Genomic DNA, 17,664 nt, shown 5'->3' with positions numbered 1-17,664 from the left:
CTAGCATTCTGTTCAATCCTTAAGTACTGACTTTCATGAATGAATATCCCAATATGTAATGTTTGTTTTCCTTCTTCTACAGGCAGACCTACAGGTGGACAAGGAGAGGCACAATTTTTTCGAGTCCTCTCTTGATTATGTTTATCAAATCCAGGAAGTTCAGGAGTCCAAGAAGTTCAATATTGTGGAGCCTGTAAGTTTTCTCTGTTGATGAATGGTCTAAAAATATTTATCAAATGCCTGGTAAATGTACAAACTTTGATCATAAAAACAGAATCCCAAAGAACGTGAAGGATAATCAGTGGAAATGTCTAGAACGTAGTCTAACTTACGTTTTTCTTGTTCTTTAGTATACTTTTTTTCTCTCTTTCCCCCCAACCCTTTTCTCTCTTTTTCTATGGCTATTTTCTTTCTCTTTCCTTTTTTTCCTTTCTCTTTCCTCCCCCCTTCCGGAATTTCTCTACAACTCTTCCTGTTACTTTGTTTCCCTCCCTTCCTTCTTCTTGCGCTTTCAGAAGCTTCTGAAAGTCTTTCTCATATACCAGATACTATGCTAGGGACTCATGTCTCTTGCAGTCAGTGACTTCTCATTCTACTACTTTTACTTCTGTCTTGTGTAGTTTTTTCCCATTTCACGTTTTTTCATTCCATTTACTTCGTTTTGTGTAGATTTTTCCATTTCCATATATTTGTTTGAGACAGGGTCTCACTGTCACCCAAACTGGAGTGCAGTGGTGCTATCTACAACCTCTGTCTCCTGGGCTCAAGTGATCCTCCCACCTCAGCCTCCTGAGTAACTGGGACTACAGGTGCATGCCTCCATACCGAGCTAATATTTTGTATGTTTTTGTAGAGATAAGGTTTCACCATGTTGCCCAGGCTGGTCTCCAACTCCCGGGCCCAAGTGATCCCCCTGCCTTGGCTTCCCAAAGTGCCAGGATTACAGGCATGAGCTACCATACCCAGCCCGTGTATTTGATTTTTAATGGGGTTGAAAATTTACACCAATATATGTTGTGTATCATTTATATGTCTTTTTCTGCAACCCTGTGAAACATTTCTAATTTTAAAGTTGGTTTAGACTCCTTTGATCTTTTAGCATTATGACAGTCTTCATTAAAGTTAGGTAGAAAATCTTGCTTTATTCATTTATCTATTTACTTTCATTCATTCAAGAAATATTTATTGAGCACCTATTGTTTGTGGTTGCTGAGGATATATAGAGGAAAGATGCAGTTCATTTACATACTGTTCAAATGATGAATGTCTTTATATGAGATCTGAACAAGCTCAGGGTTAATAAATTTGTTAATAGTTCTTTTTTTCTGAAGCTGAGTCAAGGGTAAATGTTCAACCTGATATGAAAACAGTGATGTGTAGACTGGTTTGTGTTTGACTGCGTTTAGCGCTATACTGGGTAAACACCATGGAGTTTTTTGTTGTTGTTGTTTGTTTGTTTGTTTTTTGTTTTTTTGAGACAGTCTCACTCTGTCCCAGGCTAGAGTGCAGTGATGCAATCTTGGCTCACTGCAACCTCCGCCTCCCGGGTTCAAGCCATTCTCCTGCCTCAGCCTCCCAAGTAGCTGGGATTACAGGCGTGCGCCACCACGGCCAGCTAATTTTTGTATTTTTAGTAGAGATGGGATTTCACCATGTTGGTCAGGCTGGTCTCAAACTCCTGACCTCACGATCTGCCCGCCTCGGCCTCCCAAAGTGCAGGGATTACAGGCATAAGCCACCACACCCAGCCACACCATGGAGTTTTTTGGTGAGTTCATGTTTCTTTTATTTAGTTTATTAGAAGATGCTGGTGATAAAGTTATTTTTACATGTTTTCCCTAGGTCTTGGCCTTTCTTCATAGTCTGTTCATTTCTAACAGCCTGACTGTGGAGCTCACACAGGATTTCCTCCCATACAAACAACAGCTCCAACTCAGTTTACAGAATGTGAGTTTGCATGTGGATTTTTCTCACCGGTCTTTCCATTCCGATTGAATTTCAGCCCTAGCGACCTTGATTCTTGGAATTCTAGGTTACTGCATCCTAGCCAATTTGTTAGAATATACTGGTGTGGATCACAAATATTTAGTATATCAGACTGTTCTTGCTCTTCCACTTTCACATCTTTCCTGTTTTTGAGGCTGACTGCTGTTCAAACCCACCCTTCCACACACCAACACCTTCATCTATGCAATATTTATTAAGTATTGCTAATTTGCTGCATCTCTCTCAGATCAGGACATAGCTATAGGCTTATTTGAGCCCAGGCCTTAAGCTACTTCCCTGCTCAGTCAAAACACTCTCACTGTAGACTTTATTACCACAAACACTCATTTTATCTTCTCTTTCTTTTCTCAGTACTTATTAGTAGAGTCACATAAATTACTTTTAAAGGTTTTCTCTACCTTCTTTGTCATGCTGGTTCTTACAGATGGGCATGTAGGCATAGTGTTCCCATCCTTTTCACATATATTCCTTTACATGTTCCTTTATTCAACCCACATTAAACAAATGTTTATGGAAAAAATGAACATAAGCTCTGTGCCAGGCATGTGAAAGGCACTGGACATGCCATGAAGATGCATGCAAGTTTTTCTGTCTTGAAGGAACATACAGTTTCTTGTAGGAGACAAATAAACAGAGATAAATTATAATCCATTATGATAAGTGCTATAATAGAATCAAGGCCAAAGGTTTTTAAAAAGTTCAGAGCATTTGGCTACCTGGTAGAGTCAGAGAAGGCATTACTGAGTTGGTGACTTTAGAATGGGTGTTAAATTGCATGAAATATATAGATGTAGTTTTAGATGAAAAATGCTGGTAAGTTATAGTGAAAAATAAGCCCCCCTTGGTTGTTTAGGAGGATTGGGATTTACAGTTGTTGTTATTATTTTTTCTTTCTATATACTCTCCTTGCAGAAAGGAACTAGGGGCTCTCACATTCTCCAGAATTTCCTGATTTACAACATCTTCCTACTACAACCAAGTTAATCCCATGAATCTTCCTCTATATATTACTTGATATGTACAAATGTAACAATAAGCCTTTGAATGTGTACATATGGGTGACTTATTTACAGGATAAACATGAGCCAACTAGATGGGCAGCACAGATCACCTTTCTCACTAACATCATGTCATAATTTTAAGACTGGGTACTAAAAACTTATCTGTAGTGATTTTCATACCCACATTTCAACACATGTCTTACCATTGTGTTTTAGTTGTGTAGATTTAAATAGATTTATTCTCATCATTAGGTTTTGGTATTTGTGAGTATGAAAACATAGCTACTGTTGGCCCTTCTCCCAAGAGAGCACCCTCTCGTATATTTTATGTTCTTGGCCAGAATTTGATTCAGTATCAACTAGGCTGTAACTTTGAGACACAATTTGGAAGTTGCTATGAGAATGCTACCTTTGGGAACCTTGTCTGCCATCTCCCTTGTTGTAAAGCAGGGTATCAGTCATGTTCAGAATTCTAAGATTGCTTATTTATTAGGGCCTTATGTGATTCGTATTAGTAAAAAGCCTCCCAGTTGTTATTTTATGAGTATATTGCTCGTTATATTTTTGTTTCCTATGCAGTCTTTAGGACCGTTAGACTCTATAAACTTGTTTTCCATTCACTATGCCATTCACCATTTCTTTTTTTGCTTTGTGGTTGCACATGCTGTAAGCAGGGAAAACTTTGTACTGAGTCTCTGACCAAGAAATACTTTTTCATGATAATGATGATGATAATAATGATTTTCATGATGATGTCTTGACAGACAAGAAATCATTTCTCCAGTACCCGGGAAGAGATGGAAGAACTTAAGAAAAGGATGAAAGAAGCTCCCCAGACATGCAAACTTCCAGGACAGCCAACTATTGAAGGCTATCTCTATACACAAGAGAAATGTGTGTGGGGACATAGGGGTATCCATTGGGTTTCAATAAGCCAGGAACTACTGCCACTTGTCGGCTGTGAATTTTGGGCACCCTTACTGTTCATAGACCCCTGATAGCTAAAATTCCCTTGGAACGCAGGCAGGGAATACTGAAAACAAAAAAAAAAAAAGGAGAAACTGAGAGGAAGTTAAAGATTTGTCTTACAAAGGCTGTGTAGTGATAAGACCTAAGGTTTTCTCTGAGATTCAAAATGGGTATTATTTGTTCTTTAATCCTTCTGATTATTCTTTTGGAAAAAAGGGAAGTAGAGGAAAGGAAGTAGAAAAATAATATTTCTTATACTTATTATGTACCAGACATGGTGCTAAGTTCATTTAAAACACTGCCTCATTTAATCTTTGCAACCAATTTATACCCATACACATAAGGCCACTAAGGCTCAGAGACGTCACCATTTGAAAGTCACCCAACTAACAAGTGTCAGGACTAAAATTAAATTCAGGTCTATGAAATGCCAAAGCCCATGATCCTACTATAGTACCCTATATCTTCGTCTGCATTAGGGTCATATGTTTGCTCTTTTCTTTTCTTTTTTTAAGACAGGATCTTGCTCTGTTGTCCAGGTTGGAGTGCAATGGCACCATCATAGCTCACTACAGCCTCATACTCCTGGGCTCAAGCAGCCCTCCTACCTCAGCCTCCTGAGTGGCTGCACCTAAAGGCACCTACCACTACACTTGGCTAAGTTTTGAATTTTTTGTAGAGACAAGGTCTCACTATGTTGCTCAGGCTCATGGATGCTCTTATAGCACTTAGTGAACATCATGATTCCAGTGGGAAAGACAGTATCTGTTTTTCATTGGTGACTAAGTAAAGTGGGTTAACTTGTTTAGTCACTGAATGTTGCAGAGCATTCAATCTTTCCTAATTCCTCAGTAACATTATGCACACCTGTATGTGTGATTTGATTTTATTTGCCCTTTGAACTATGACCCAATACTCCCCAAACCTGTTATTCAGTTTTTGCCCAGAGTTATTATATCTGGGGAATAAACAGAGGACACACACCCAGAGGCTGCCAGTAGCAAAAATCACTGTAATTCAAAAAGCATGACACTACGGTAGTGAAATTATCACACTTTTCTTTGCATAGAGCAGTTTACTTGTGATGATTTTCAAAGATGTGTTCTCCCACTTGTCAGGTTCATCTCTTCAACTGTGTGTCGCACAATTTCTCGATCTCAGTGCTGTTGACATTTCAGGCTGGATAATTTTTAGTTCTGGGAAGTGGTCCTGTGTATTATAGTATATTTAGAAGCATCCCTGGCCTCCTCACTTTGTGCTCATAGTAATCTCCAGGTGTGACAACCTAAAATGTCTCTAATGTATTGCCACATGTCCCCTGGGAGGCCAAATTACCCCTAGTTGAGAACCACTGCTGTATGCTGTGTGATCCTTCTGTGCTTCAGTATTCTGATTTGTCATATGGGCATAACATTGCTACTCAGTTGAATGTATGCTTAATGAGCACTGTTTCTGCCAGATACTGTGCAATGCATTGGGGACACCCTTGAAAAACTGAATCAACCATGATTTCTTTCACCAAGAAGTGTAAAGTGATGGGAGAGATAGACAAGTATATCAATAATTATAATGAAATGTGGTGATAACTGTATTTGGGGCATATATCTAAAGGCTTCACAAAGAAAGTGATATTTGAACTAGAACTTGAATGATGAGTGGGAGTTTGATAGGTAAAGAAAAGGAGGAATGGCCGGGCACAGTGGCTCATGCCTGTAATCCCAGCACTTTGGGAGGCTGAGACGGCAGATCACTGGAGGTCAGGAGTTTGAGACCAGCCTGGCCAACATGGTGAAACCCCGTCTCTACTAAAAATACAAAAATTAGCTGGATGTGGTGATGCTTGCCTGTAATCCTAGCTACTTGGGAGGCTGAGGCAGGGGAATGACTTGAACCTGGGAGGTGGAGATTTTACTCAGCCGAGATGGTGCCATTACACTCCAGCCTGGGTGACAGAGTGAGACTCTGTCTCAAAAATGAATAAAAGAAAGAAAGAAAGAATGAAAGAAAGAAAAGAAAAGAAAGAAAGGAAAGAAAAAGGAAAGAAAGAAAGGAAAGAAAGGAAAGAAAGAAAGAGAGAGAAAGAAAGAAGGAAAAGGAGGAAGGGAATTCCAGGTATATACCACTGCATGAGTAAAGGCAGGGTTGTGGATAGACATAGTTGATTTGTAGGGCCCTTGTTTGCCAAGAATAGTCCTGCTTTACCCCTGTTGTCCTGATGTAATTATTAATAATACTGCCTCATTCAGTCTTAAATAAGTCTTGGATTTGGACTAGAAATTATATGGCTACCTCTTTATGTGGGAACTAAAAGTAATTCATTGAGACAGGAACATAGAGGTGAGGTGCCAAAAGAAAAAGCTAGAAAGGTAAGTTTTGATCATGTTATCAAGGGCATTGTAGGCAGGCTAAGGAGTGTGGAGATAGTGGGAAAGCCGTGGATGGTTTTTAATGAGGGGAATGATAAAAATAGAGATATATTTTAAAAATAATCTAGGAAAAGAGTGGAGAATGAATTGGAGTGGAGTGATCAGAGATGGGGACAATAGGGAAATCAGAGAAGGCCAATGAAATAATTAATTGGTGAGATAGTAAATTTTTGTTTTTTAAAAATATGTTTCATAAAATATAAATACAAAATAAGACACTGGGCCCAGCGCTGTGGCTCATGCCTGTAATCCCAGCACTTTGGGAGGCTGAGGCATGCAGATCACGAGGTCAGGAGATCAAGACCATCCTGGCTAACATGGTGAAACCCCATCTCTACTAAAAAAAATACAAAAAGTTAGCCGGGCGTGGTGGTGGGTGCCTGTAGTCCCAGCTACTTGGGAGGCTGAGGCAGGAGAATGGTGTGAACTGGGGAGGTGGAGCTTGCAGTGAGCTGAGATTGCGCCACTGCACTCCAGCCTGGGTGACAGAACGAGACTCTGTCAAAAAAAAAAAAAAAATTAAAACAAAAACAACACTGATAGGGTTCTTAACTAATTCGGTGTTAAAAAGGAATGGAGAGGAGGAGACAGTTAAAAGAGAGATGTGTAGAGTCATGTACAGGTTAGAAGGGGCATAACCCAATGACCAATGACATGGAACAGTTATAGAGACAGCAAAGTAAATGACAATAGTCTCCAGCTTCTGGGATATATGGTGATACAATTTATAGGGAACATGGCAGGGAGAGTAGGTTTTGAGCAAGCCAGAAGCAGCTGTGGGAAGCAGTTGGTGAAGGTTAGAATCTCCCTGTGTGCAGTAGGTAGGTGGCTATGGAAGGAGGGCGGTCAGGGCAAGGGCAGGGCTGGATCTGAAGTTTGACTCTGAAGAGCAATGTGTAAATAGCTTCCATCTTAGGGTTGACTTCCTATACAGCTAAAATAGTTATTCTGTCTGCTCACTTTTACTTGTCCTTGTAGGGGCTTTAGGAATATCCTGGGTGAAATACTATTGCCAGTATGAGAAAGAGACCAAAACACTGACCATGACGCCTATGGAGCAGAAGCCAGGTGCTAAGCAGGTCAGTTCTTGTTTGCACCATATTTTTGGAAATGGATCTATGACTGTTTCTCAGAAAAGAATATATGTTGACCTAGTATCAAATCATCAAGTTCATCACTGTTACGTGAGGCCATGACTTTATATGTACACCTTGGCCTAAGTTTGAGTCAGATAGCACTGAGTTGAGTGAAAAATTTCTCTGTTGATTAGAGCAAGCCTTTTGAAAGTGCCGGTAGTCTTTCAAACCAGTTATTTTTACAAGTGCCAGTCACATTGTACAGTCAACTATGTAAAAATATGGATGAATTACTTTTAAGAATGCTCTACTCTTGGATTCTTTAAAATAGCAAGTTTTAAAAATATGAATTGAATTCCAAAATTCCTTTTTTACAGGAGTGTGTTTATGGCCCACAGTTGGAATAACCGATACTCACATTCTATGTACTACTCAAATATCTTTAAGCAGTTAATCTCTCTTTTTCTGCCCTCCAAACCTTCTCTCACTCCTGAAAATGACAAGATAAATTTAACACACTGAAAAAAATAGTTTACTTACCTGGAAGAACCTGATCTTTTACAAACACACACACACACACACACACACACACACACTCACACACACTCACACACACAGATACACACATGGGGGTTCCTTAAGATAAAAGCTGATCTTTAGACAGATTGTTTATATTCTAAAAGTAGTTCAATGTGCCTCTTTCCCCTTTAACTGGCTCTCAGACAGGGTCTTAGTGCATGATTTTTAAGCATTTGCACTCTTTACAAATTGTTTGTTGGAAGTGCTTCAAGGGTTATTTGTTAGCACTGAAAGTAGTACATGAAGACCCAATTTAGGTAGGGAGGAATTTGGAGAAAAATTGGGACAGTTTCTCTCCCTTGCTGATCCTTTTCATGGAAGATCTCTCTTGTGTGGCTTGCTCATGTTGAATTAGAGAGGATGGAAATGTGCTTTCAGGCTACTGAAATTTTTTTGGAGTGAGAGTGGTCTTTTAACCACAAGATTTAGCTCCCTGCTTTAATGTGCTTTGGTGATGGGATGGACTTGTAAAAGATGTTGTATCAAACAGAGTTTCTGGAATCCTCGGCTATGCTTTATTATTATTGTTATTATTATTATTATTATTTGCGATGGAGCTTCACTCTTGTCGCCCAGGCTGGAGTGCAATGGCACAATCTCGGCTCACAGCAACCTCCACCTCCCGGGTTCAAGCGATTCTCCTGCCTCAGCCTCTTGAGCAGCTGGTATTACAGGTGTGCACCACCACACCCAGCTAATTTTTGTATTTTTAGTAGAGATGGAGTTTCACCATGTTGGCTAGGCTGATCTCGAATTCCCGACCTCAGGTGATCCTCCCGCCTTGGCCTCCCAAATTGCTGGGATTACACGTGTGAGCCACGGTGCCAGTTACTGTGCTTTTATCATGGGCCAGTTACTCATTCAAAACCCTCCTCAGTTTCCAGTCCGCCAGTTGCCAAAGCACCTTTCAGTGTGGTTCCAATAAATTCATCCTGTGTTTTAGCACTGATTTGTTCCAAGTCAGTCAGAACTTAGCTGATTAATCTGACTAGGAAGTGCTTATAAGCAACACTGGCCTGCAGTCTCTTTCTTTTATTTTTCTACACACATTACTTTTCAAATACCGGAGAGGAAAGCTCCTTTTGTAGGCAGTAATTTCATTTAGGCACTTTCTCTGAGGCTGCTCAGAGGTGCTTATTGCAAACTCCAAGACAGAGTCAGCAGATACCACTTTCATATCCTCCTGACAGATGCCAGCAAGCCCTCCTTTTAGTTTTTCTTTCCCTCTTCTCTTTTCATTGAGTAGCTGCTTGCAAAACTGCAATGGTGGTGGCCTGAGCATTTTTGATGTGGTATTCCTTATGGAATGGAAAGAAGAACTTAGTTACTCACAAGGCAGAGGGAGGTGGTGGGGGTTACTTGGATTTCCCCAAATTGGAGTTGGAAGTGATTTCTTCCTGTCAGTTCTCTGTTTCACTTCTTAATACTAGTTTGTATTTTACAATTATAAATTTTACAAATAAATGATACCATAATAATAAGAACACTACAAAAGCCACTATTTCTTGAATACCTGCTGTGTGCCGGACACTGAGCTAGACCCTTCTGTCATATTCATGCTCCTCATTTACCCTCCTAGCAGCTATGTGAAGTCAGTGCCCCCAATTTGTGTAGGAAGTGAGACCAAGTTGAAGATGCAGGAATTGGCCATCTTTCTGACTATGGCACTTACTATAGCGTTGGTCCCACTACTTTAGCCTGTCAGCTCTCATCTGTGTTTTCATGGTCAATTTTCTGATCATCTTCTCAAATGATAATTTATTAGATCTTCATCCCTTCCCTGTTAGGAATTTGTGGTCAGAAGAAGGAGTACTGCATTCTGAATCTTCAGACCTGTGTTTAAATTTTAGCTCTGTGATCTGGTAGCTTTTGACCTTGAGTAAATTGCCTAATGTTACTCAGTCTTAGTTTCCTCATCAGAAAAGTGGTAAGGATGATAAAGTAGTTCATAAACATTCATTGAGCACTAAGTATTTGCAAGATACTGGAGGTATAAAGATGAATAAAACACTGTTCATGTCTTTGAAGACTTCCTAGTCAAGTGGTGAAATTAAACATAAAAACAGGACATTTTAATATTACGTGCAAAGCACATAGTGGGCAATGTGTTGGTTTGAAGAAGGATTTTTGAGGAAGTGGAAGCTGAACTGCAGTTTGCAGAATAAGTAAGAGTTTAGTCAGACAAAGCAGATAGACAAGGTCATTTTGGGTGGAGCGATTAATATAGGCAAAGTCATGCAATCATGAAATAGCATGATATGTATGTGAAATAAGAGTACTTTTGCATTGTAGGGGCATTAAACAGGTGAGCAGTCACTGGAGATGAGATTGGAATGGTGGGCAGGGCCTAGGTCCCTGAGCTGCAATGTCATTGAAGCTGAGGACATTGAGAATTTAAAGAGATAGAGTGAGTCTGTGACTTTGCTCATAACTCTCATTTTGAAAGACTAATGTGTGACATCCCACATTTAGGGGTAGGAAGGCATACTGAAGGATTAATTTAGAGTTGAGTTGTTATAGTGCAGGAGCAAGGAAAGATTGGCCTGCAAGTGGCTGAGTATGCTGATGAGCAAGAAGTATTGGGTAATGAGCCACGTGGGCCAGTTTGTATGTCATAGTATCTAGGCACCTGGGCAGTGTTACCTAACTTGAGATACCACAGTGGGTTTTGTTATTCCCATTTAATAGATTGTGAAGTTAAGACTTAGAGATGGAATATGATTTATTTATTTATTTATTTTTGAGACAGAATCTCACTTTGTCACCCAGGCTGGAGTGCAGTGGCACGATCTTGGCGCACTGCAGCCTCTGCCTCCCGGTTTCAAGCGATTCTCCTGCCTCAGCCTCCCAAGTAGCTGGGATTACAGGCGCCCACCACTGTGCCTAATTTTTGTATTTTTAGTAGAGACGGGGTTTTGCCATGTTGACCAGGCTGGTCTCCAACTCCTGACCTCAGGTGATCCACCTGCCTTGGCCTCCCAAAGTGCTGGGATTACAGGCATGACCTGCTGTGTTTTGGCCAGGGTCACATAGCTGGTAAATGGCATAACTGAGACAAGACCCTAGGTCTTAAACTTTCTAGTGTGTTGCTATTTCCACTATACCAATTTGGATGACTTTGGGTATGCTGCTTTACTTCTTTAAGTGTCACTTCTCTATAATGGTTGTTAACAATAAAAGTGGCTTAAAAATACCTAGCATAGGCTGGACACAGTGGCTCACGCCTGTAATCCCAGCACTTTGGGAGGCTGAGGTGGGTGGATCACGAGGTCAGGAGTTCGAGACCACCCTGACCAACATGGTGAAATCCCGTCTCTACTAAAAATACAAAAATTAGCCGGGCATGGTGCGCACCTGTAATCCCAGCTACTCAGGAGGCTGAGGCAGGAGAATCGCTTGAACCCGGGAGGCGGAGGTTGCAGTGAGCTGATATCGCACTACTGTATTCTAGTCTGAGTGACAGAGCAAGACTACGTCTCAAAAAAAAAAAAATGTAGCGTAATATATGGCACATAGTAAGTGATAAATGTTACTTCTCTTTCCTGTATCACATGGTCTCTGTTGAGATAAGAGAGGGAATCTGAACAAGGTGAGACTAGAATTTTAGTCTGTGGACACAGTGGGTTTTAATTCCCTTAATTACCTACAGGACTAAAGTGGGCCACACTGTCCTTGCTGCACATATGAAATATCAAATGCTACCATGACTAATACACACATTTGCTATTTCCTCTACTTTTGCGCTACCTTTGGAGCGATTACATTTGTGATTTCTGTCATCCTAAAGAGTCTAGAGTTGGGAGACAGAAATGTTTTTCTCCCTCCTTCATCTGCCACTTTAATGGAAGCTTCTTTGCTCAGCTACCCTCTGACTTTCTAAGGGAGGTTTTAGACAGCCACTTACCCCGTCACAATTTCCCTCCCCAGAGGCCTCATGAAAATTTTATTCTGTACACTTAATGCCATTCAGTCAGCCCATTTCTCCTACACTCCCCTTACATGATATGTATTGAGCTTCCTATTAAGTCTTCCGTCTTGGGAAAGAGTGCTGGATGACTCTGAACAATTTCTCCTGGTCTCAGCCATTGATTCTTGGAGCGGGGAGAAACCATCTGCCATCTTGCTGCAAATACTGTTTGAAGGGACAAGATTCTCAGTGAGTCTACACATTGCTCCTGCTGCCTTGACCAGACGCCTTCCAAGTGACACTGAAGACACTGTAGGAAGCAGAAACAGCTTCTGTGTCTTTTTTTAAAAATTGCCTGTTAATTCTTGTTTCATATCAGGGGCCCTTGGACTTAACACTGAAGTACTGTGTGAGAAGGAAGACGGAGTCTATCGACAAGAGGTTCTGTTTTGACATAGAAACTAATGAAAGGTAAGCTGTGCCGCTGTGAATTGGCAATGTCCCCACGTGCCAGATGCTTAGCCTGGGTAGGTCTTTTATTTTCCTCCGTCATCCCACGTTGATGACAATGAGTAAGTCTATTCAGGACTTTGTTGTGAGTCTATTCAAGCCAGCTCTTCTGGCTGCCCTTCCCAGGGATCCCTGCTAGACCTGGCCCAGTGCTGCTTTTCTCTGTGCAAGCTTCTATCAGCTTTGCCTCACTTGCTCTGGGAAGAAAAAGTCTCTCCTGGGATTTAATTTGCTATCAGATGTGCAAAAGGTCAACATTTGGTGATCTTGCAAGAAGGAAAGGATAACAAAGCTCATTCTTTGTTAAATCTCCTAATATCACATAAAAGAACAAATGAATTGGCACACATTTTTGAGGGAGGGAAGATGGGGTGGAGGGTCGTGGTGTTATTAGAAAGTCATTTCCCCCCATTTGGTGCAAAAATGATGCAGACCTTCCCTACTTTACAGATACTCAATGAACTGGAAATAGTGTGATTATCACCTTTCAGATCTTACAGCTAAGGCTTGCACATTTTGGACTTCGTTGTGTTTGTTTCTCCCCAGTGCCCTCTTTTTTTACTTGAACCTGAGCAGTTTTATCAGAGGAGAATTTTAACCATTAAAATTTCAAATGAATGCATTTGGCATTATTGTGGAGAAAGACATGCTTTATAGTTGGGTGGTTGTACCAAAATAAACAGAATAAATCTGTTTCTAGATTTTATCTCAACCTTTTATTTCTAGATGTTAGATACTTAGTAATAGAATAGAATTTTGCAAAATGATCAGATTGCTAGAAAGGAACTTGAAGGGTGAATTACAATATCATGTGAACAAAACTAGCAGTGACTGGGATCATAACAATCAGACTAAATGATGAGGGCATTTTTAAAAAAATTGGGGAATAAAGGACTTAGCTTGTTTCATTATTTCAAAATTGAGAGATTATTATTTGACCCTCACAATTTCGATTTGTGAATTTATATCATTTCTTTGTTAAAAATGGATGATCCCAATTGAGGTGGCTCTGAAAGTACGTATTGTTGCCAGTAACCATGAGACTGTCACTCATTTTCCTGATAGCCTCAGTTCCAGTAGGAAGGGGAAAATTATTGTTGGCTGTGGCTTCCCTTTTTTGCAAATAATATCCCCAACTCAAGCAGTTGCAAACAGTTTGTCCCCGTGGTTAGGGGCTAGGATGAATTTATGTTTCTTGTACCTGGTGCTATGCATGGCTCATGATAAGTACTAAATTTGATGTTTATTTTTAAGTGTTTTTTTCTTATCCTAGAATGCTGAAGAATTTTCGACACTAGAACCCAGGGATTAAAGTTTTGATGCATCTACACTTTTAGTTATCATATACTGTGCACTTTACAAAACATTCCCTCATTTAATCTACACCCCCCCCATTTTACCAGTGAGGAAACTGAGACCCACATATATTTAACTGACTTGCCCAACTAAAGTCACATAGGAAATGGTGAGGCTGAGCTCAAACCCTGGTCTGTAGGTCTCCAAAGCCCATGCTGGTTTCTTTTTGTTTGTTTTGAGATGGTGTCTCTCTCTCTTGCCCAGGCTGGAGTGCAGTGTTGCACAACCTCTACCTCCTGGGCTCAAACGAGTCTCCTGCCTCAGCCTCCTGAGTAGCTGGGACTACAGGCGTGTGCCACCATGTCCAGCTAATTTTTGTATTTTTAATAGAAATGGGGTTTCACCATGTTGGCCAGGCTTGACTTGAACTCCTGGCCTCAAGACATCCACCTGCCTCGGCCTCCCAGAGTGCTGGGATTATAGGCGTGAGCCACTATGCCTGGCTCCATGCTGTTTTTAATTTTTTATATTGTCTATTATAAGCAGAAGAAACAAGCTGCAAAGTAGAGCGTTAAATATAATAATGAACAGGTGCTGAGGCCCCTCTCTGCATGTGGAGTCTTTTGAGTGACATGACATCTGCTTTTCTGGCTAGTCAGTCTGATATAAGGAACAGAGTCAGGCTTCCTAGCAGGCATCAGGCAGCTGTACTCACATTCCCTGGAGCACAGAGCAAAGGGCTCTTGGAGCCACTTTTTCTATGTCAGGAAGAGAGGATAAGATTTTTTATTTTTTTAACTTTTAATTTTTTAGAGAGAGGGTCTTACTCTGTTGCCCAGGTTGGTTTGCAGTGGCACAGGTTCAAGTGATCCTCTTGCGTGAGCCTCCTGAGTAGCTGGGACTGACAGGTGTGCACCACCATATCTGGCTAATTTTTTATTTTTTATAGCTATGGGACCTTGCTATGTTGCCCAGGCTGGTCTTCAACTCCTGGCTTGCAGTGATTCTCCTGTGCCAGCCTCCCAAAGTGCTCATATTACAGGTGTGAGTCACTGCACCTGGTTCTAAATTTAGGCTCTTAGCAGTATTTAAAATGACAGGCTCATAGCAAGGCAGAGCTTGAAATGTTTTAATAACAGCAACAACAATAATTGTAATAATAATAAAAACAATTGCTAACATTTGCCAAGTACCTCCTTTGTGACAGGCACTGTTATCAGCCATTTAAGCGTATAATTTCCTTTAGTCGTCACCACAGTCACATGAGGGAGGTGATGTTATTTGAATTTTGGTTTGTGAATCTGTATCATTTTTGTGTTAACAATGGATGACCCCATTCAAGATGGCTGTGGAAGTATATATTGTTGCCAGTAACCACAAGACTGTCATTAAGAGGTGCTTTAATGAAGTAAGAGAAGGTAGGACAGGAACCCCATGATTCCAGCAGGTAGAACAGGATTCCTGTGATATCAGTAATGGAAAGGACCTCCCAGCTCCTGTGTTCCAGAACCCTTTCAGATAAAGAAACTGAGGTCTAGAAAGGCCTAGTTACTTATCCAGGGTGGCTGAACTCTCTTGGCATTGCTTTTATCATTCTATGACTCTAGGAGAGGTCTCATCTTATCACAGAATTTGTGGAAGGAACAATGTTTTCCTAATGGCTCAGCAAGCCAGGAGAATGCAAGGAGACTTTATACCTTGCATAAAGTATGGTTAATCTCAAAATTCCAGATGAGTCACAAAGATCTAAAAAGACCATAAAGAGCATAACAGCTTGGGATATCTCTGGGTAGTTAGTAGTGTCTTAGTCCATTTGTGATGTTATGACAAAATACCTGAGACTCAGTAATGTATAAACAACAGAAATTCATTTGTCACATTTCTAGAAGCTGGAAGTCCAAGCAGTTTCAGTGTCTGGTGAGGGCCTGGTCTCTGTTTCCAAGATGGCATCTTGTTGCAGTGCCCTCCAGAGAGCACCAACACCGTGTCCTCATATGTCAGAAGAGATGGAAGGGAATGAACCTACTCTTTCAAGTTTTTGTAAAAGGGCCCTAATCCCATTCATGAGGTTCTACCCTTATGACTAACTCACCTCCTAAAGGTCCCATTTCTTAATATCATCACATTGGTAGTTAACTTTCAACCTATGAATTTTGGGGAATATTCAGACCACAGCAGGTAGCCTGCAAATAAATAGAATAAAACAGGGTTCGAAGCCGTGTGCCAGGCAGAAGAGGCCTTATATTGTAGTAATGAAGAATATGGCTGCTGGACCAGACTTTCTGGATTTAATTCCTGTCTCTAGTAGTTCCCTGCTATATGACCTTGGATAATTACTCTGTGCCTCAGTTTCCCCTTCTGTGAAATAGAGATGATTACTGTAACTGCCTTATTATATATATTAACTGAGTTAATATACATAGTTTACTTGGAACAAAATTTGTCACCTAGTAAGCATTCAGTAAATATTAGTTGTTTTTATTAGTCATAAAATTGCTTATTAGCCAAAACGCCTCCTCCCTGTGTCTTAGCCAGTACTCATGTTGTTGAATTTATTGCAACTCAAAATGTTTCTTGGACATCGCAGGTGCTGGAAGAAGCAAAGCCATTTTACTGAGAGATAATGTGCCTCTGATGTTCATGCTCATTCCTAGAGCTCAGACAAAGTGGCTGGCTTCCAACAGAGTAAGGCAGTGAGAGCCTTTGTTTGGTTCAAGCACAATGGGGCCAATTTAAGTGTGCATTATGGAGGCGTCTTGACAGTTACCTTCCTATTTCTTGCAGGATCTGGGCACAAGGCCACCAAGATACCACCCCCGCCTCCATGGTTCCCAAAGTTACTGTTCTGTAAATTGCCTATTGTTTTCTTGAGTAAAAGAGATTTTGAAAAATTAGTATTCTGTAAGCCTATGCTTGTTCAGTGTGACAAACTCCAGGGCAGAGAGGGACCCTAGATCACAAGACTCCATTCTCTCAGTTGAATTTTCTGCTTTATACTTACCATTTTTTTCCCCCTCAGGCCAGGAACCATCACTCTGCAGGCCCTTTCAGAAGCTAACAGAAGGCTATGGATGGAAGCCATGGATGGGAAAGAACCTGTAAGTTACCTGACACTGGGGAAACCTCCCCAGCATATGCCAGTGTATGAGTGCCCTCTAGTGGTATCAGTGGGTCTCAGACAATTAAATGGTAATGGATTGTTTAGTCTCAGTTTTAGAGCTGTAAGGAATTGTTTCCACATCTCTTAGCAGGTAAGGCAACTGGAGTTCCAGAAAGGTTGAGGGACTTTTCTGAGACCACCCTCAGAGAAGACACCAAAACCGGGCTTAGAATGCAGATCTCTCAGCTCCCTGCTCTAGTGTTAGACTATGTAGCTATGCCCATGAGCTTTTCTTCAGAAAGAATGAAGCCATTTTTCAGGTTATAAAATCAATATGTGTTAATTAATTAATATGTGTTAATATGAAAAATAATTGCCATAGTTATAAATAAGCACTTATTAAACATTTATTCAGAATGATTTTTCTGCCTCACCCTTATACCACCAACTCAGCTTATTCTCTTTGAGGGTACAGCTGGTAGCGGAGATGGCATTGCCATCCTGTATCACAAGATGTACCGTTCCATTTAGAACACGGTTATGCAGGAGGACAAGCAATCCCTTGAAAGGGTTACTGATTATCATCAAGCGACCAATAGAAACAGTTGGAAATAATTGAAAAACATTCTGGTTTCTTAGTGGCATATTAAATAATATCAGCTTCCTGGTGTTGGAATTCCAAAAGCTTGGATATAGGTACTAGTTCTGCCATTAAATGGCTATGTGACTCTGGGCAAATCATTTCACCTCTCTGAGATTCAGTTTTCTTCTCCTCAGTAAAAGGGCTTTAATA

General features: G+C 40.7%; 1 protein-coding gene across 7 annotated transcripts in view; it reads left to right on the top strand.

The window, feature by feature from the left end:
- Positions 1 to 17,664, top strand: part of OPHN1 (oligophrenin 1) — a 391,498-nt gene that overhangs the window by 219,787 nt on the left and 154,047 nt on the right. For all 7 annotated transcript variants that reach the window (XM_011530961.2, NM_001437258.1, XM_006724653.3 and 4 more), the window contains 6 exons: positions 83 to 193; positions 1,843 to 1,947; positions 3,773 to 3,902; positions 7,382 to 7,482; positions 12,345 to 12,436; positions 16,791 to 16,869. In XM_011530961.2, the coding sequence (XP_011529263.1) occupies positions 83 to 193; positions 1,843 to 1,947; positions 3,773 to 3,902; positions 7,382 to 7,482; positions 12,345 to 12,436; positions 16,791 to 16,869 (618 nt within the window). The remainder of the gene's footprint in view (positions 1 to 82; positions 194 to 1,842; positions 1,948 to 3,772; positions 3,903 to 7,381; positions 7,483 to 12,344; positions 12,437 to 16,790; positions 16,870 to 17,664) is intronic.

Source organism: Homo sapiens, chromosome X (assembly GCF_000001405.40).
Source record: "Homo sapiens chromosome X, GRCh38.p14 Primary Assembly".
Taxonomy (NCBI): Eukaryota; Metazoa; Chordata; class Mammalia; order Primates; family Hominidae; genus Homo; species Homo sapiens.
This window is presented reverse-complemented; position numbering and strand designations above follow the sequence as displayed.